We start from the raw sequence: 20,894 nt of genomic DNA on the forward strand, positions 1-20,894 counted from the left end.
TTTGCAGAGTAGGTTTGAGTGGTTTATCTGCATTACCAGTATCTCTTTCTTGGGACTTTGGAAGAGACACCCTGGGTAGGCCCAGCAGGTGGAGTTTTTGGGGTTGGGGCTGGACTACAGGAGAAGGAGAAAGCAGGGAGGAACAGTGTGGAAGGAAAAAACTGAAACTCAGAGGAACAGGGTAAAGATTTTTCTCCGTAAAAGTACCAAAAGCAGGCCGGGCGCGGTGGCTCATGCCTGTAGTCCCAGCACTTTGGGAGGCTGAGGCGGGTAGATCATGAGGTCAGGAGATGGAGACCATCCTGGTCCACATGGTGAAACCCCGCCTCTACTAAAAATACAAAAATAAGCTGGGCATGGTGGCATATGCTTGTAGTCCCAGCTACTCAGGAGGCTGAGGCAGGAGAATCATTTGAACCCAGGAGGTGGAGGTTGCAGTGAGCCAAGAACACGTCACTGCACTCTAGCCTGGGTGACAGAGCAAGACTCTGTCTCAAAGAAAAAAAAAGTTCCAAAAGCAGATCCTAAAACCAGAGACTGAGCCACACTCTTGGATAGGGGAAATGAGAGCATGGGGAAGGAATCAGAGGTGGTTGAGCAGAAGAGTCACTGCCTGTAGAGACATTTGTTAGACAAACATTTAATGAGCACTAGCTATGAGCCAGACACGGGGCTGTGCAGCCTCAGAACAAATCCATGCAACAGTTTCTACCATTCTGGAAATGGAGGTAGAGAGCGGTTGAGTTACCTGTTCAAAGTCATTTGGCTGGAATGTAGATGGGCCAAGGTAAGGATTCAGGCCTGTCTGACCCCAGAACTCAGGATTTGAACCACTGAGGTATGTACCACTCTGAACAGGGCACACCTCGGGGTGGAGTCTGGGAGATCTGACCCAATTTAAGGGATAAGGAACAAGGAGGAACATAATATTATTTCAACCATCCTCCCAGGGGCAGAGGCAGGGGAGAAGGAAAAGAGGTCCCTGTGTACAACTACTGGAGCTGAGAGAGGGATATTGGTTTACATACCTCCTGAAGAAGACACAGGTAGGATCCTGAATGCTGAATCCTTGTCCCATTGCCTACCATGGAGGCTGTATTCATTTGCTTTGGCTGTTGAAGCAAAGTACCACACACTGCAGGGCTTATACAACATACACAGATTTTCTGTCTGTTCTGGAGATTGGAAGTCGAGAATCAAGGTGTCAGCAGCGTTAGTTCCTTTTGAGGGCTGTGAGAATCTGTTCCAGATTCCTCTCTTAGCTACTGGTAGTTTTCTGGCAATCTTTGGCATTTCTTGGCTTATAGATGCATCATCCTTATCTCCGCCTTCATCCTCACATGCATTCTCCCTGTGTGCACCTCCGTCACTGTCTAACTTTTCACTTTTTATAAGGACACCAATCATGTTGGATTTGGGTACACCCTAATGATCTCATTGTAGCTTCATCATCGGTAAAACCCTATTTCCAAATCAGGTCACATTCACAGGCACTGGGGGTTAGGGCATCAATATTTTTGAGGGGGACATAATTGAATCCACACAGGGAACATCCCAGTAAAACACACAATCGTTACTAGTTTGGCCTTTGGTCCCAAAACATTTTTGTGAGATGAGTTGGGCCGTTTGAGATTGATGAGGCAGCTGTGCCCCTTGAAGGTAAGACTTCAGGAGATGTCAGCTCCAACAGTATCCTATGTCTTCTCCTGTCCCTGCCACCCTCTCATCCTGCACCAGCCTTTGCACACTAGTTAGTAAAGGAAACTTAAGAACACCTAGGGACTGGCAGCACTTGGAGAAAACAGAGGGAAGAGATCAATGATAGTTATACCTATAGTTCTTCTCCCTTCTCCTGACAATGCCATCCTCTTGCCTTCTGACCCCTGTGTGTGAACTTGAAACTCCATTTTCTTTTTCGACTATGTCATGGAGATTTCTCTTTAAAACAGGGTTTCTCTCCTTCCCTCCCTCCTTGTTTCCCTCCCTTTTTTCCTTCTTCATTTTTTTTCCTTTTTGTTAAGGAAGAGGAGGTACAGTGAAAGGAAGAAGCCTTATTCTCTTCCTAGGGAATAGAGTGTAGTGAGTATAACTTAATAGGGAGCAGGTGGGAAGTCTAAACTTTCCTTCTTAGTTTAATTTTTTTCGTCTCCCTTTACCCCATTCTTCTCAACTGAAGGGAATGAAAGTGTGTAATTCTCAGGTAGAACTGAGTGCAGAAACGGAATGTGGTGAGGACTACACAGAGGTGGTAGGAGGGAAGAAAAAACAGGCCTGACAATGCAATATATGTTCCTATCCAGTTCAGCTAGATGTGATGAGACAAACTCATTTAGATTAGCTTATTTTGTCTTGATGTATAAATGTCAGATAATCCAACTGTGCTAGGATTTTTGCATATCACAAACATGTTGTTATTAACCACCATCTGTAATTAGCAAAATAGTGAGCTAAATAATGAAGGAAGGAAGAAACTAACATATTTGAGCATTTATCATGCATCAGGCACTGCATTAGGGACTTCTGCATATATTCTTCTGTTGCATCCATCAAAGCCAGGGAAGCAGGCAAGATCAATCCGGTTTCGCTGATGAGGATGCAGAGGCATTGCCTAGGGTTACAGAATATTTCTTTTTTCTTTTTTTTTTTGAGATGGAGTCTTGCTCTGTTGCCCAGGTTGGAGTGCAGTGGCGCGATCTCAGCTCACTGCAAACTCCGCCTCCCGGGTTCACACCATTCTCCTGCTTAAGCCTCCCAAGTAGCTGGGACTACAGGCGCCCACGACCACGCCCAGCTAATTTTTTGTATTGTTTAGTAGAGATGGGGTTTCACTGTGTTAACCAGAATGGTCTCAATCTCCTGACCTCGTGATCCGCCTGCCTCGGCCTCCCAAATTGCTGGGATTACAGGCATGAGCCACTGCGCCCAGCCAGGTTACAGAATATTTCTAGGCACCACAGGCCTGGTCAATAAATGGTTTATGTCACACAAGCTAGCTGAACTCATTTATTAAATTTTTTTTTTTTTTTTTAGTGAATTCCTCACAATTTTCTCTTTTTAAATTTTTATTATTTATTTATTTATGAGACATGATCTCGCTCTGTTGCCCAGGCTGGAGTGGCTCACTGCAACTTCAAACTCCTGGACTCAAGCAATCCTCTCACCTCTGTTTCCTGAGTAGCTGGAACTACAAGTGTGCACCACCACACCCAGCTAATTTTATTTTTTTTGTAGAGATAAGGTCTTACTATGTTTCCCAGGCTAGTCTTGAACTTCTAGACTCAAGTGATCTTCCTGCCTCAGCCTCTCAAAGTTCTGGGATTACAGACATGAGCCACTGCGCCTGGCCACAATTTTCTATACTTGTAAATATATTACCTGTGAATAGAGATAGTTTTACTTCTTCTTTTTTTTTTCTTTCAATCTGGTTGCCTTTTATTTCTGTGTCTTGCCTAATTCCTCTTGCCTAATTGCTCCAGTACAATGCTGACATAACAGTGGCAAGAATGGATATCCTTGTATTTTTCCTGATCCCATGAGTAAAAGCTTTCAGTTTTTTACCTTTGAGTGTGATGTTAGCTGTGGGTTGGTTGTAGATGCCCTGTATGTCCTCAACTTCTGTATGAGGTTGAGGACATTTTCCTCTATTTCTAGTTTAACGAACTAGTTTTTTTTAATCATGAAAGGGTGTATAATTCTATGTTGCTGAAGTCAGTTTGCTAGCTTATTTTTTGAGAATTTTTCATCTATATTTATAAGGGATATGAGGTCAAAGTTCTATATTCTTGAAATATCTTTAGGTATGGTATTAGGGTAAGAATGGTCTCATGAAATAAGTGAGAAAATGTGTTTTTTTATTTCTTTTTTTTGAAGAATTTGTCAAATATTGAAGATTGGTATTAATTCATCTTTAAACATTTGTAAAATTCATCAGTGAAGATATCTGGGTCTGAAATTTTTCTTTTTGTAGAAAGTTTTAAAATAACTAATGTCATCATTTATTATAGTTCAATTAAGATTTTCTATTTCTTGAGTCAGTTCCAGTAATTTTTATCTTGCTACGATTTTGTCCATTTCATCTTGGTTATCAAATTTGTTGGCATAGCTGTTTATAGTATCCTTTTATAATTTTTTAAATTCCTATAAGTAGTGATGGCTCGTCTTTCATTGCTGTTATGAGAAATTTGAGTTATCTCTCTCACTTTCTGTCAGTCTAATTAAAGATTTGTCATTTGTTGGTCTCTTTAAAGAAAGAGCTTTTGATTTTTCTCTATTGTTTTCCTATTTTTTATTTTATTTATATATTTTCCAGTCTTTATTATTCCTTTCCCCTACTTGCTTAGGTTTCAGTTTGCTCTTCTTTTTTATTTCTTAAGATGAAAAGTTAGGTTACTTACTCATTTGAAATATTTCTTATTCTTCTTTTTAAAATATAGATGATTACAGCTATACACTTCTCTCTAAGCACTGCATTAGCTGCGTATCATGAGTTTTGGTATGTTGCATTTTTGTTTACATTCATCTCTAAATATTCACTTAGAGAATATGTCTTGTAATTTCTTCTTTGATCAATTGGTTATTTAGGAATGTATTAATTAATTTCCATATATTTGTGAATTTCCCAGGTTTTATTCTGTGTTTTATTTCTAATTTTATTTTATTGTGGTCAGGGCACATGTTTTGTATAACTTCAATCTTTTAAAATTTATTGTTTTTATAGGCAGACATATGGTCTACCCTGGAGAGGTTTCATTGTGCACTTGAGAAGAATATGTATTCTGCTGTTGTTGGGTGGATCATTCTATAGAGGTCTGTTAAAACAAAAACTTTAGATAAATTAAATTTAGCAGAGTTTTTTGAGCAAAGAACAATTCATGAATTAGGCAGCACTCACAACAAGAAGAGGTTCAGAAAGCTCTACCTAACAGCCTGAGCAGTGAGATTTTATAGGCTAAATGTGGAACCAAAGTAGAAAGATCACTTAATTGGTTACATGTAGACATACGCCTTATTTGGGCACGGTGTGATCAGTTAACTGATTTGCTGAAGCTTGGCTGCTTGTGATGGCTGAAACTCAGTTATCAAGTCTGGTTTCAGTTTGTTTATAAAATATGTTAGGTTGTGCTACATTACAACTCAAAGTAGGGAGATAGCCTCGAGTCAATGGCTTCCTGCTTATTTAGTTTAATAAATGCAGTTGGAGTTATTCAAGTCTCCTATTTCATTGTTGATCTTCTGCCTGTCCTGTTCTGTCCATTATTGAAAGTGAGGTATTAAAGTTGTTACCTGTTACTGTTGAATTGTCTATTTCTCTCTTTAATTCTGTCATTTTTGTATCTTCATATATTTTGGAGCTCTCTAGATAGGTTCATACACAATTGTTATGTCTTCCTGATGACCTCAACTTTTTAAATTATAAAATGTCCTTTTTTGTTTCTAACAACAATTTTTGTTTGAACATCTATTTTGTCTGATCTTAATATAGTGACTCTAATTGTCTTTTGGTTACAGCTTGCATGGAATATCTTTTTTTTTCCCCATTTTTAACATTCAACCTATTTGTGTCTTTTCTACATCTATTGAGTTTCTTCTGTGTTGTGGTTTTCTCCTTTATTCTATTTATATGATAAATTACATTTATTGATCTTTGAGTGCTATACCTACCTTTCATTCAAAATATAAATCTCACTTGTTCATATTGAGTTATCTTTTCTGATTATTGTTAGATTCCAAATGCCCATATTCATAAAGGATTGCCCCATCTCTGTTCATGAAATGGTAGTTTCATAGTGTCACAGTAACATTAGCCTTGTAAAATGAACTGAGACGTGCCCTGCACTCCTTTATTTTTGAAAAGTATCTGCACAAGATTGGTATTTCTTTTCTAGAAATTTCACAGAATTCACCAGTCAAGTCATCTCAGTCTGGAGGGTTCTCCTCTTCCCTGGGAATGTTTTTAACTGAAAACTCAATGCCTTGAAGAGATATACAGCTATTTTGATTTTCTCTTTTCTCTTGTTTCAGGTTTGGCAAATTTTTTGTGTCAAGTTTGGTCTTTTGATACGTTTGTCCATTTCACCCACGTTCTCACATTTGTCATATGCTGCTCATAACATTTCATTATTGTCTACTTAACGTACAGAGAACGTTCAGTGACATCCTATTTTGCTTTTGATATTAGAAATGTTTGTCTCTTTGTTTTTGATCAGTCTAGCCAGAGATCTATCATTTGTATTGATCTTTTTAAACAAGCAACTTATGGTTTCATTGATTTTTCTCCATTGTTAGCTTGCTTTTCATTTCATTGTTTTACACTTTTGTTTTTCTTCCTTTCATTGTACTTTGGGTTTCAGTTCTTTTTTTTTTTTTCTTTTAGCTTCTTACAGTGGAAGCTCTGATAACTAACTAATTTTGGACATTAAAAAATTGGCAACAGAAGCATTTAATGTTATGAAATTTCTTCTAATTGCTACTTTATTTTCATCTAATAAATTTTGATATGTGTTTCATTCATTTCAAAATATTTTCTAATTTCTTTTGTCAATTTCACTTTGAAAAATGGGCTATTTGAAATGAGTATTTCCCAGGTATTTTAATTTTTTTGATATCTTTCTGTTTTTGAAATGTGTTGTCATTCTACTGTAGTCAAAGAAAATGGATTGTAAAATTTCCGTCCTTTGATATGTATTAAGACTGGTTTTATGACCCAGTTTTGGGTTAGTGTATGGCATATCTTAGTGAATTTTCCATGTGCTCTTGAAAAGTATCTACATTCTGTTGTTTAGTTACTTGTACTATAGATATCAATTTGATCAGGTTGAAGGTAAGTGTTGTTTAAGTCTTCTATGATCCTATTCTGTCTAATTTATCAACTACTAGAAGAGGAGTGTTGAAGTCTCCAACTATAATTGGGAATTTGTCCATTTCTCTTTTCAGTCTTATCAGTTTTCACTTCACGTATTTTGATGCCTATTACTACATGCCTATTCAGTTAGCATTGTTGGTCTTCTTAATACATTGACTCTTTTGTTTTTATAAAATGTTCTGCTTTATCACAAAAATTGGTAATATTTCTTGTCCTGAAGTCTACTTTATCTGATATTAATGTAGCCACTCCAGTTTTCTTATTATTAGTGTATGCATTGTTTATAATTTTCTATCCTCTTACTTTTATAATGTGAGACTCTTCTGTTCACCCCAAGGTTTTCTATTATTGTTGTAATGCAATTTACTTCTACATGTTATAAACTCTATGATACATTCTTTACTTTTTTTTAAGAAAGCAATTTTCTCTTAAAGAATTGAAACACAAGGAAAAACTTTTTCCCTTTATATAAATAGTTATCATTTAAATGATTCTAAATTCTTTTGAGCAGATCCATGTTTCCATATGGTATCATTTTCTTCTCTGCAAAAAACTTCCTTTAACATTTCTTGTAGTTGAGATCTCTTTACAAGTAAATTCTTTTAGTTTTTGCTTATCTAAAAACATTTTAAATTACTCTTAGCTTTTGAAAGATGTTTTCACTGGAGATAGAATGACATTTTTTCCCCAGCACTTTGAAGATGCTTTATTGTTTCTTGTCTTGCATTGTTTGTGATCTAAAATTGATAGTAATTCTTATCTTTGGTTTTCTGAATATAATCTGCCAATTTTATATGACCAATTTTATATGGCTTCTTTTAAGATTTTTCTCTTTATCACTGGTTTGTAGCAATTTGATTATGATGTGCTTTCGTATAATTTTCATTTTTATTTTTTTAAAATTTTGTTTTGTGCTTATTGAATTTTTTGACTGTGTTTATGGTTTTTATCAAATTTGAATAAAATTTCAGGCATTATTTCTTTGAATACATATTTCTGCCCCTTCCTTTTTTCTGACTCCAGTTATATTTACACTAAACTACTTAAAACTGTTCTACATGTTATGAGGGTTCTGTTAATTATTTTCTTTCTCTTTTCTTTTTATGCTTAAGTTTGGATAGTTCCTATTTCTACATTCTCAGATTACACTGATTTTTTTTTTCCTTTTTCTATAATGTCTAATCTGTTATTGGTCCTATGCAGTAAAAATTTTATTTCAAATATTGAATTTTTCAGCTCTAGAAGACCTCTTAATTTTGTTTTTATTTCTTTAATTTCTCTCTTTATCATTTTTGTTTTCTTGTACATTCTAGAACATATTTATATTAGCTACTTTAACGTCCCTGTCTGCTATTCACTCTGTCATTTCTGGATCTATTTTTATTGGCAATGACAGTCCTGCCTGTTCATGGAAATGTTGTACCCACAAGGTACAATGTAGAAAACTTCTCTGTATCAGTTGGTAGCACATTTGGCTTCAAGTAAAAGAATGACAGTAACTTAAAGAAATAGGAGGTTTATTTGTCTCATAAAAGTGTCTGGAGGTAAGCAATTGCTGGCTCTGATTCAATAGCTCAGTAATGCAGAGATTAGTATAATTCTTTTTGTTGCTTTTCTCATCTTGGTAACCTCATTGTTTCCAGAAAACTGCAAACCTCCAGATACTAGACATCACACTTGTATTCTAAGTAGGAAAAACGTTATGCCTTAAATCTATTTTTTTCCCCTGAAAGCAGTGGTTTATTGGAAGTTCAACCTAGTGGCTTTCCATGTAATTGGCCAAGACTGGGTCACATGACTTCCTATGGACTAACCACTCATCAAGTTAAACAAGATTGTCACGACTGATTTAGACCAGTGATAAATTTCCTTGGACTCATGAACAAATTGGAGCTCGAATAACAGGGAAATGGATGTTGAGGAAAGGCTAGGCTAGACAGTGTTGCTCATATGCTGCAGTGCCAAAAAGTAAGGTTCACTCTCAGAATGGCATTTGATCTTCATCTTGTAGGAAACTTGGTGGGAGAGAGGAGAGCCAAGAGCAACATGGGCAACTTCTAATATTATCTAGATCTCAAACAAGGAGAGGTTTAGAAGCAAATCATAAAGCGAGGTTTAGAAGCAAATCATAAGACCTCTGTGAAGTCTAGTTTCTGTGGTTTTTTAAACACAGAGACAATTTAGTTGCTGAGTTTTATATCAGCAGAAGCGTCTGGGGCACAAAAGGAAGGAAATGTCACAATAAATTAAAACAAATGAGAATGTGAGTCAATGATAGAGTTGGTGGACTCTTAATTCTTGAAAACTTTTATTGTGAGCTGTGTGATCTCGAACAATCCACTTAACTTCTCTAAGCCTCAATTTCTTCATTAGAAACTAGAAATAATAATATAACTGTTGTGGGTGATTAGCAATTAACCATCTGTATTATTAGTTCTAGTTTATTATTGTGTTATAACTTCTTGTTTATTATTATTTTTAGTTTATTCGTCAAAAACCAGGAATAATAAGATGGCCATTGTAGTTAGTTAAGAGCAGCAATTCTCAAAGATTTAGGTGTTAGGGCCACTTTAAATCCTTAAGAATGATTGAGGATCCCTAAGCACTTTTGTTTACATTTGTTGTAACTATTGATATTTACCATATTAAAAATTAAAACTGAGAATTCAAAAGGTATTTATTAATTCATTAAAATAACAGTAAGAATGCATTGCATGTTAAATTAGTAACATTTTAAATAAAAATATATTTTCTAAAACAAAAAATATGGTGAAAATGTGGCATTGTTGTACATTTTTGCAGATTTCTTACAGTTTAATAGAAGGGAGCGGGATTTTCCTGTGCATTTCTGCATTCAATCTGTTGTAATATCACATGTCATTTAGGCTCTGAATAACCCTACTGTGTACTTGTGAGAAAATGAGAGAGGAAAAAGGCAAATAATGCTTTAGTATTATGATGAAAATAGTTTGTGATTTCACAAACTTCCCTGGGGGTTCCTGGACCAGATATTGAGGACTGTTAGTTAAGAAAATAGTCTCTTTCCCTTCTAAATGAGTAAATGTGAGCAAGATATTAAATGTCTCAGTTCCTTCATCTGTAAAATGGAGATAATAATAATAGCTGTTTCATAGGTCTGCTCTGAGGATTATATCAGTTCTCTTAAGATAGTGTGGAATTCAGTAAGTGATCAAAATCAATTACTATTACTGCTTACTGAATGCACCACAAAAGAATTTTTCTCTCCCCTTTTCCTTTGGAGCAGAAGAGAGATCTTTGGAACATTTTGTTTGAGAAGTAGAAGAGGCAGACCTCTGGATTTATTGATAAGGGCCCAACACTTGGATAAAATGATCCCTTTAGTCAGTAATAATTAATGCATAGCATCCACATCATATTATAAATCATCCTTTTCAGCCCCTATCTCACTTAATTCTTGAAACCGCCTGTGATATGGGTGAGGTATATTTATTATCCCCATTTTGCATACCAGGCAACTGAGACTCAGAGGTTAAATAACTTGCCAAAAGGCAGAATTTCTACAGGGAATCTTTATCTTCTGACTCCACATTCTGTGCCTTTGAAGTCTCCTCCCTGCCTCCCACTTCTGATTTTTGCACATTAATATGCATGTAATGCACCTGCTCCCTGGGAGGCAGGTTTGCCTGCATCAGCTTTTGAAGTTGGTGCCTGAAACTTGTTTTGATTAAGGATGGAAAATTCACTGAATAGACAGATGGACTCGAAGGCCTTTACATCATTTTGGAGATGAAAAGTGCTGGGTAAGTGTTATGATCCATGTGCTGGTAATTTGATCAAAAAAGAAATAACTATGCAGAAATGACCCTAAGAAAATGAGATCTGAAAAGGGGGCAGGGGCTATCAGCTTTGATCCAGAAGACCTCAGGGTTATTCAGATTTTGACTCAGGAAGTTCCTGTGGGTGAAGTAACACATCTGCCTGAGATACTAACAAATTCCTCAGCTGACCTGAGTGTAGTGGGAGGCTGGCAAGAATGTGTAAATTCAATATCATTAGCAGACAAGTGAAGATGAACCCCCAGTGACTACTAGGAAAATCTTGCAGGCAGGAAACCAGGAGAGAAAGGTAAAAGTGCTAATGGTGGACATTAAAGGCTTCTTAGAAAGCTGGGTGCCTGGCTCTATTATGGAAGCAGTCATGCTAATCACGACACCTGACATGGATTAGCATGTCCTCTTGGTCAGCCTCTGTGCTGGGGACTTTACATGCTCTGTTTTATTTAATCCTTGCAAGAATCTTGTGAAGGAGGTATTTTTGTTATCACCATTTTACAGGTAAAAAAAAACCCTTTGCTCAGGGATGTCAAATAATTTTCATATGAGAATTAGTGAGAAGTAGAGGAAAGAGTCAAACCAGCTCCAATGTCAGTGTCCAAATCACTGGATTTACTGCATCCCCAAGATGTTTTGATCTCACTGGAGATAAGACAGACCTATAGGATGATATTTGTTGCTGGAGAGATGACCATTTGGTAACTAAAGCAAATATGAGCTTTTTAAGAATAGCTTTACTCTTCTGGATATTTGCTCATTTAGGGTTCCAAACATGGATCAGTTCCTATTTTTTTCTGATACTTGCTATTGCTCCTTATTGCTTCTGGCATAAGATTCAACCTCTCAAGTAAAGTTAAAGTTCAGTATTCTCTCTGGCAGGTTCTGGAAGCCAACAAAAGGGAGACAGCTTTTGGAGCACTACCATTGTCCAAGGTCATTAACAAGAACCTATTATGTGCAGAACATGTGGATAAAGCTGGGTAAATCCCACCTGTGCCTCATCATGCATCATGCCTCCTTGGGGAGCTCACCGTCTAGCATGGGATTTATATTTATATTTATATTTCTTAAATAATAACTTAGAAAGCAGTGAGTGCTTTCTATGCACTTGCAAGAATCTGTCTTTCTAAGCAGATTGCAAGAATCTGTCCCAGGAGATCTGCAGAGGATCCCTGGCTGGGGGATAGTTTTTTTTTTTTTCTTAGCAAACTTTAATAAAAGGACTAAGCTAAGTGTGATAGAAATTCAAAAGTTAAGGTAGAAGGAGAAAACACGGAGAGACGATGTTCTATGAAGGTCAACTAGTAAGGCCTGGGAGGGGTAGCTGGAGGGCATGTCAGAAGGAGAGTGACTAGACGAGGGGGCAGCAACCTTGGCACATGGATCCAATACAGCCCACTGTCTTGGCTGACTTTTCACTGAGTCTGCTATATTTATATATTATGCCTGAAATCACTAAGGAGGCTCATCAAATCCCCACAACAACTCTACGGCCTTTATAGATGAGGAAACTGAAGCTTTAAAGACTTGGTTAAGGACACTTGTCCAAGATCATGTAGCTACTAAGTGGCAGATCCAGAGTTTAGATGTAGATCTCCTGAATCTAAGTCCAGCTCTCTTTCTCTTGCACCAGGGCCAAGTTTCATGGCATTCTGTCCTTCCTAAGGCCTCTGCTCTGATATTGGGGATGCCCAGGAGCTCCAAATTCTCCTTGTCAAAGTGCATCCTCTGGACTTGCCTTTTCCCATATTCTCCTCTCTTTACACAGATCCAGAGAGGACAGGTCCTGGAGGACAGGATGCTGCTATTGCAGCGTCAGGCCCAGGACTGGACGGATGTGCATCTGGTCATGTGAGCACAGCTTTCTCCATGCTGCCACTCTGACCCTAGAACATGTGTCCTCCTTCACACAGTGGTCATCCCAATTTCAGCCCCTTCCCTCTTTCCTTTCAGTCTGTAAGCCCTTCCTATCGCCCCGGCACGCTGGCTTCCACCTCATCAGCCTATCATCATGTGAGGTTGGAAATACCACAGTTCTTGCTGCCTCGTCGTGACTACAGAGTTCTTACATTGCTCTTTTCACAGAAACATTCATTAGTTTCCTACAATGATGTATTATGTGGGAATGTTTACCACCAAAGCAAGGCCAGTAAAGGATATATTTTTAGTTGGGAGAACGGATGACTTTGGTTTCTTGGACTCATACCTAATATGCACGCAATCTATCAGTATAGCTCTTCTGGCAGACTTGGGAGAAGGTTCATGTGAGCTCTGGACAGGAATGAGGAGTTGGTTATGACAAAAACACAGATTGCAATAATCTGTCCCAGGAGATCTGCAGAGGATCCTTGGCTGGGGGATTTTCTTTTTTTAGTAACTTTCTATGGCATTAATTTCCATGAGAGACATTTACTGGAGGTCTGTGTACCAATTAGAGTGCTGGTGGCTGTAATAGAAACTCAACATGACTAAAACAACAACAAAATATCCCATTGAACAGGAAGGCCAGAATTAAGATGGGTCTTGAGCATGGAACTGAGAGATATGGCTGTTTTCTGTGATTCTCTTACCTTTTTTCTTCTTGTATGTTATGGCATTTTAATTTTTTTTCTCTAATTGATCCCTTCAAGGTCCATACAATCTTCTATGGACATGGGGGATGGAGGGAGGGATTGAGAGAGAGAGAGTGAAACAGAGAGAAGAGAGAGAAGAGGAAGAGAGGGAAGGAAGAAGAGAGAGAGCAGGAGATAGAGAGAAAGAGAGGAAGAAGAAGAGGAAGAAGGAGAAGAAAGAAGGAGGAGGAGGGGGAGGAGAAAGAAGGAGAAGGAAGAGGAGGAAGAGGAGTAAGAGGAGCTGGAGGAGCAGGTGTCAGAAGGAGGAATAAGAATGAGGAGGAGGAGGAGGAGGAAGAGAAGGAGGGGGAGAGAGGTAGAAGAAGAAAAGAGGAGAAAGGAAGGAGGGGCAGCCAGGAGATAGAGAAACCTTTGCCTTAAGCAGACTGACAGAGCTTACTTAGGTCACATGCCCACTCTAGAGATGGGATAATGTCATGTGCCATTTGGCTTAAAATAATCATAATCTGAGGACAGTACTGGAGTGGATACCTTAATTAATCTGGAGTTGTGTGGGTGCAGATATGGGTAAACAACACCAGTGATAGCCACAGTCTAACAAGATTCTCTGCTGCCTGAGGGTTCTCCAGGTCCTCAGGGTCCCTGGAGACACTTGGAGGTTGTTGTCTATGTCTGCAGATGGCAGAGGTGGAGATAAGGAGAGTGGAGCATTTCTTATGCATGTGTGTGTGTATTTACTTCTAATGTAACATGTAATATGATATACATGTTAATATACATAGTACTTTTAGGTACAGCAAGGAATATACCAGTCCCTCAGGGTGACCAAGTTACCCCTCATAATTGAATTATAAAGGAAATTCCCTCATGGGGTTTTACATGCAAAATACATTCAAATTTATCACTGAATGACAGAGCACAATTTCTAATAAGATCCTTACATTCTGCAAAAGCAGTGATATATTTCATTAGACTGCTTGATGTCCTGTCTCTTGATAATTTCCTGGTATATGAGATGAAAGCCTAGCTTAGAGATGGTGATTTTGGCTAGGGCAGAGTCGGTGAGGCCCAGGCACAGCCCTATTGGGATGGTAGGTTAGGGTTAAAGTTGGAAGTCCATGTAAGCTTTTGATCAAACATTTTTGTCCAAGTCTGCTCACAATAGAGGACACAGTATTTATATATGGTATGGCTTTAAGAAGCTGAAGAGGGGGAGGAGCCAAGATGGCCAAATAGGAACAGCTCTGGTCTACAGCTCCCAGCCTGAGCTACGCAGAAGACGGGTGATTTCTGCATTTCCATCTGAGGTACCGGGTTCATCTCACTAGGGAGTGCCAGACAGTGGGCGCAGGTCAGTGGGTGCGTGCACTGTGCGTGAGCCAAAGCAGGGCGAGGCATTGCCTCACTCCAGAAGCACAAGGGGTCAGGGAGTTCCCTTTCCTAGTCAAAGAAAGGGGTGACAGATGGCACCTGGAAAATCGGGTCACTCCCACCCGAATACTGCGCTTTTCCAACGGGCTTAAAAAACGGCACACCAGGAGATTATATCCCGCACCTGGCTCAGAGGGTCCTACGCCCACGGAGTCTCGCTGATTGCTAGCACAGCAGTCTGAGATCAAGCTGCAAGGTGGCAGCAAGGCTGGGGAAGGGGCACCCGCCATTGCCCAGGCTTGCTTAGGTAAACAAAGCAGCTGGGAAGCTCGAGCTTTGTGGAGCCCACCACAGCTCAAGGAGGCCTGCCTGCCTCTGTAGGCTCCACCTCTGGGGGCAGGGCACAGACAAACAAAAAGACAGCAGTAACCTCTGCAGACTTAAATGTCCCTGTCTAACAGCTTTGGCGAGAGCAGTGGTTCTCCCAGCACGCAGCTGGAGATCTGAGAACGGGCAGACTGCCTCCTCAAGTGGGTCCCTGACCCCTGTCCCCTGACCCCCGAGCAGCCTAACTGGGAGGCACCCTCCAGCAGGGGCACACTGACACCTCACACTGCAGGGTACTCCAACAGACCTGCAGCTGAGGGTCCTTTCTGTTAGAAGGAAAACTAACAAACAGAAAGGACATCCACACCAAAAACCCATCTGTACATCACCATCATCAAAGACCAAAAGTAGATAAAACCACAAAGATGGGGAAAAAACAGAACAGAAAAACAGGAAACTCTAAAAAGCAGAGCACCTCTCCTCCTCCAAAGGAATGCAGTTCCTCACCAGCAACGGAACAAAGCTGGACGGAGAATGACTTTGACGAGCTGAGAGAAGAAGGCTTCAGACAATCAAGTTACTCCGAGCTACGGGAGGACGTTCAAACCAAAGGCAAAGAAGTTGAAAACTTTGAAAAAAAATTAGAAGAATGTATAACTAGAATAACCAATACAGAGAAGTGCTTAAAGGAGCTGATGGAGCTGAAAACCAAGGCTTGAGAACTACGTGAAGAATGCAGAAGCCTTAGGAGCCGATGCGATCAACTGGAAGAAAGGGTATCAGTGATGGAAGATGAAATGAATGAAATGAAGCAAGAAGGAAAGTTTAGAGAAAAAAGAATAAAAAAGAAATAAAATACTTTACAGACAAGCAAATGCTGAGAGATTTTGTCACCACCAGGCTTGCCCTAAAAGAGCTCCTGAAGGAAGCGCTAAACATGGAAAGGAACAACCAGTACTAGCCGCTGCAAAATCATGCCAAAATGTAAAGACCATCAAGACTAGGAAGAAACTGCATCAACTAACGAGCAAAATAACCAGCTATCATCACAATGACAGGATCAAATTCACACAAAACAATATTAACTTTAAATGTAAATGGACTAAGTGCTCCAATTAAAAGACACAGACTGGCAAATTGGATAAAGAGTCAAGACCCATCAGTGTGCTGTATTCAGGAAACCCATCTCACATGCAGAGACACACATAGGCTCAAAATGAAAGGATGGAGGAAGATCTACCAAGCAAATGGAAAACAAAAAAAAGGCAGGGGTTGCAATCCTAGTCTCTGATAAAACAGACTTTAAACCAACAAAGATCAAAAGAGACAAAGAAGGCCATTACATAATGACAAAGGGATCAATTCAACAAGAAGAGCTAACTATCCTAAATATATATGCACCCAATACGGGAGCACCCAGATTCATAAAGCAAATCCTGAGTCACCTACAAGGAGACTTAGACTCCCACACATTAATTATGGGAGACTTTAACACCCCACTGTCAACATTAGACAGATCAATGAGACAGAAAGTCAACAAGGATACCCAGGAATTGAACTCAGCTCTGCACCAAGCGGACCTAATAGACATCTACAGAACTCTCCACCCCAAATCAACAGAATATACATTTTTTTCAGCACCACACCACACCTATTCCAAAATAGACCACATAGTTGGAAGTAAAGCTCTCCTCAGCAAATGTAAAAGAACAGAAATTATAACAAACTATCTCTCAGACCACAGTGCAATCAAACTAGAACTCAGGATTAAGAATCTCACTCAAAACCGCTCAACTACATGGAAACTGAACAACCTGCTCCTGAATGACTACTGGGTACATAACGAAATGAAAGCAGAAATAAAGATGTTCTTTGAAACCAATGAGAACAAAGACAAAACATACCAGAATCTCTGGGACGCATTCAATGCAGTGTGTAGAGGGAAATTTGTAGCACTAAATGCCCACAAGAGAAAGCAGGAAGGATCCAAAATTGACACCCTAACATCACAATTAAAAGAACTAGAAAAGCAAGAGCAAACACATTCAAAAGCTAGCAGAAGGCAAGAAATAACTAAAGTCAGAGCAGAACTGAAGGAAATAGAGACACAAAAAACCCTTCAAAAAATTAATGAATCCAGGAGCTGGTTTTTTGAAAAGACCAACAAAATTGATAAACCGCTAGCAAGACTAATAAAGAAAAAAAGAGAGAAGAATCAAATAGAGCAATAAAAAATGACAAACGGGATATCACCATCGATCCCACAGAAATACAAACTACCATCAGAGAATACTACAAACACCTCTACGCAAATAAACTAGAAAATCTAGAAGAAATGGATAAATTCCTCGACACATACACTCTCCCAAGACTAAACCAGGAAGAAGTTGAATCTCTGAATAGACCAATAACAGGATCTGAAATTGTGGCAATAATCAATAGCTTACCAACCAAAAAGAGTCCAGGACCAGAAGGATTCACAGCCGAATTCTACCAGAGGTACAAGGAGGAACTGGTACCATTCCTTCTGAAACTATTCCAATCAACAGAAAAAGAGGGAATCCTCCCTAACTCATTTTATGAGGCCAGCATCATTCTGATACCAAAGCCGGGCAGAGACACAACCAAAAAAGAGAATTTTAGACCAATATCCTTGATGAACATTGATGCAAAAATCCTCAATAAAATACTGGCAAAACGAATCCAGCAGCACATCCAAAAGCTTATCCACCATGACCAAGTGGGCTTCATCCCTGGGATGCAAGGCTGGTTCAATATATGCAAATCAATAAATGTAATCCAGCATATAAACAGAACCAAAGACAAAAATCACATGATTATCTCAATAGATGCAGAAAAGGTCTTTGACAAAATTCAACAACGCTTCATGCTAAAAACTCTCAATAAATTAGGTATTGATGGGACATATTTCACAATAATAAGAGCTATCTAGGACAAACCCACAGCCAATATCATACTGAATGGGCAAAAACTGGAAGCATTCCCTTTGAAAACTGGCACAAGACAGGGATGCCCACTCTCACCACTCCTATTCAACATAGTGTTGGAAGTTCTGGCCAGGGCAGTTAGGCAGGAGAAGAAAATAAAGGGTATTCAATTAGGAAAAGAGGAACTCAAATTGTCCCTGTTTGCAGACGACATGATTGTATATCTAGAAAACCCCATTGTCTCAGCCCAAAATCTCCTTAAGCTGATAAGCAACTTCAGCAAAGTCTCAGAATACAAAATCAATGTACAAAAATCACAAGCATTCTTATACACCAACAACAGACAAACAGAGAGCCAAATCATGAGTGAACTCCCATTCACAATTGCTTCAAAGAGAATAAAATACCTAGGAATCCAACTTACAAGGGATGTGAAGGACCTCTTCAAGGAGAACTACAAACCACTGCTCAAGGAAATAAAAGAGGATGTAAACAAATGGAAGAACATTCCATGCTCATGGGTAGGAAGAATCAATATCGTGAAAATGGCCATACTGCCCAAGGTAATTTACAGATTCAATGCCATCCCCATCAAGCTACCAATGACTTCCTTCACAGAATTGGAAAAAACTACTTTCAAGTTCATATGGAACCACAAAGGAGCCCGCATCGCCAAGTCAATCCTAAGCCAAAAGAACAAAGCTGGAGGCATCACACTACCTGACTTCAAACTATACTACAAGGCTACAGTAACCAAAACAGCATGGTACTGATACCAAAACAGAGATATAGATCAATGGAACAGAACAGAGTCCTCAGAAATAACGCTGCTTATCTATAACTATCTGATCTTTGACAAACCTGAGAAAAACAAGCAATGGGGAAAGGATTCCCTATTTAATAAATGGTGCTGGGAAAACTGGCTAGCCATATGTAGAAAGCTGAAACTGGATCCCTTCCTTACACCTTAAACAAAAATCAATTCAAGGTGGATTAAAGACTTAAACGTTAGACCTAAAACCATAAAAACCCTAGAAGAAAACCTAGGCATTACCATTCAGGACATAGGCATGGGCAAGGACTTCATGGCTAAAACACCAAAAGCAATGGCAACAAAAGACAAAATTGACAAATGGGATCTAATTAAACTAAAGAGCTTCTGCACAGCAAAAGAAACTACCATTAGAGTGAACAGGCAACCTACAACATGGGAGAAAATTTTCGCAACCTACTCATCTGACAAAGGGCTAATATCCAGAATCTACAATGAACTCAAACAAATTTACAAGAAAAAAACAAACAACCCCATCAAAAAGTGGGCGAAGGAGATGAACAGACACTTCTTAAAAGAAGACATTTATGCAGCCAAAAGACAGATGGAAAAATGCTCACCATCACTGGCCATCAGAGAAATGCAAATCAAAACCACAATGAGATACCATCTCACACCAGTTAGAATGGCAATCATTAAAAAGTCAGGAAACAACAAGTGCTGGAGAGGATGTGGAGAAATAGGAACACTTTTACACTGTTGGTGGGACTGTAAACTAGTTCAACCCTTGTGGAAGACAGTGTGGCGATTCCTCAGGGATATAGAACTAGAAAAACCATTTGACCCAGCCATCCCATTACTGGGTATATACCCAAAGGACTATAAATCATGCTGCTATAAAGACACATGCACACGTATGCTTATTGTGGCATTATTCACAATAGCAAAGACTTGGAACCAACCCAAATATCCAACAATGATAGACTGGATTAAGAAAATGTGGCACATATACACCATGGAATACTATGCAGCCATAAAAAATGATGAGTTCATGTCCTTTGTAGGGACATGGATGAAATTGGAAGTCATCATTCTCAGTAAACTATCGCAAGAACAAAAAACCAAACACCGCATATTCTCACTCATAGGTGGGAATTGAACAATGAGAACACATGGACACAGGAAGGGGAACATCACACTCTGGGGACTGTTGTGGGGTGGGGGGAGGGGGGAGGGATAGCATTGGGAGATATACCTAATGCTAGATGATGAGTTAGTGGGTGCAGTGCACCAGCATGGCACATGTATACTTATGTAACTAACCTGCACATTGTGCACATGTACCCTAAATCTTAAAGTACAATAATAAATAAATAAATAATTAAATAAAAAAGAAGCTGAAGAGATGGGTAAATCTGAGGGAGTAGCACACACTTCCTTTGAAATCTTGTATTTCAAGTTCAAAATTCCCATACACTTTACATTCTTCTCCTTAATAGACCTCTGCATGTTTTAATATAAAAATAAAGTTTTCCCATAAATCTCTGAGTAAAATAGATGGTTTGGGAAAATGTACCATGCCTCATTCTGTGGTTTAATGGAGTTCCAGCACATGGAGGGATTCTCTTGTCAGTTTCCCCATAATTGTGTCATTCTAGGATTACTGTTACTAGTTTGTTCATAGTTATGCAACACTACTACTTTTTCTGAAATTTGATATCTTTGAAATAGACTAAATTTTAAAACCAAATACATTTTTCGTTTCTTTTTTTCTTTCTTTCTTTTTGAGATGAGGTCTTGCTCTGTTGCCAGGCTGGAGTGCAGTGGCGTGATCTTGGCTTACTGCAAAAGCCACCTCCTGGGTTCAAGTGATGCTCCTGCCTCAGCCTCCTGAGTAGCTTGGACTACAGTCGTGTGCCATTACACCCAGCTAGTTTTTGTACTTTTAGTAGAGACGGGGTTTCACTACATTGGCCAGGATGGTCTTGATCTCCTGACCTCGTGATCCACCCGCCTTGGCCTCCCAAAGTGCTGGGATTGTAGGCGCCCGGTCACAGTTTTCATTTTCATACTAAGCTGTAGTATCCATGAAATGTTAAATTCCAGATCATGTTCAATTTCTTGTATTCGTTAAAATGAACATAAAATATCACAACTGGAGGGTACCAACAGGGACCTATGTTTTCCTTTGGGAAATGCTTCATTTCCCAGTTTGAGAAGTGCAGA

General features: G+C 39.0%; 2 long non-coding RNA genes across 6 annotated transcripts in view; one reads left to right on the forward strand and one right to left on the reverse strand.

Moving 5' to 3' along the window:
* Positions 1-20,894, forward strand: part of LINC01182 (long intergenic non-protein coding RNA 1182) — a 276,050-nt gene that overhangs the window by 129,340 nt on the left and 125,816 nt on the right. The window lies entirely within an intron of this gene.
* Positions 1-20,894, reverse strand: part of LOC101929048 (uncharacterized) — a 74,973-nt gene that overhangs the window by 18,586 nt on the left and 35,493 nt on the right. For 3 of the 5 annotated variants that reach the window (XR_925415.3, XR_001741387.2, XR_925418.3), the window contains exons 3-4: positions 2,477-2,608; positions 1,029-1,175 (exon numbers count right to left, since the gene is read on the reverse strand). This is a non-coding gene — a long non-coding RNA (uncharacterized LOC101929048). Of the gene's footprint in view, positions 1-456; positions 1,176-2,476; positions 2,609-20,894 lie in introns of those variants that run through there. The other 2 variants (XR_001741385.2, XR_001741386.2) reach the window with 2 other exon arrangements.

Source organism: Homo sapiens, chromosome 4, assembly GCF_000001405.40.
Source record: "Homo sapiens chromosome 4, GRCh38.p14 Primary Assembly".
NCBI classification, from domain to species: domain Eukaryota; kingdom Metazoa; phylum Chordata; class Mammalia; order Primates; family Hominidae; genus Homo; species Homo sapiens.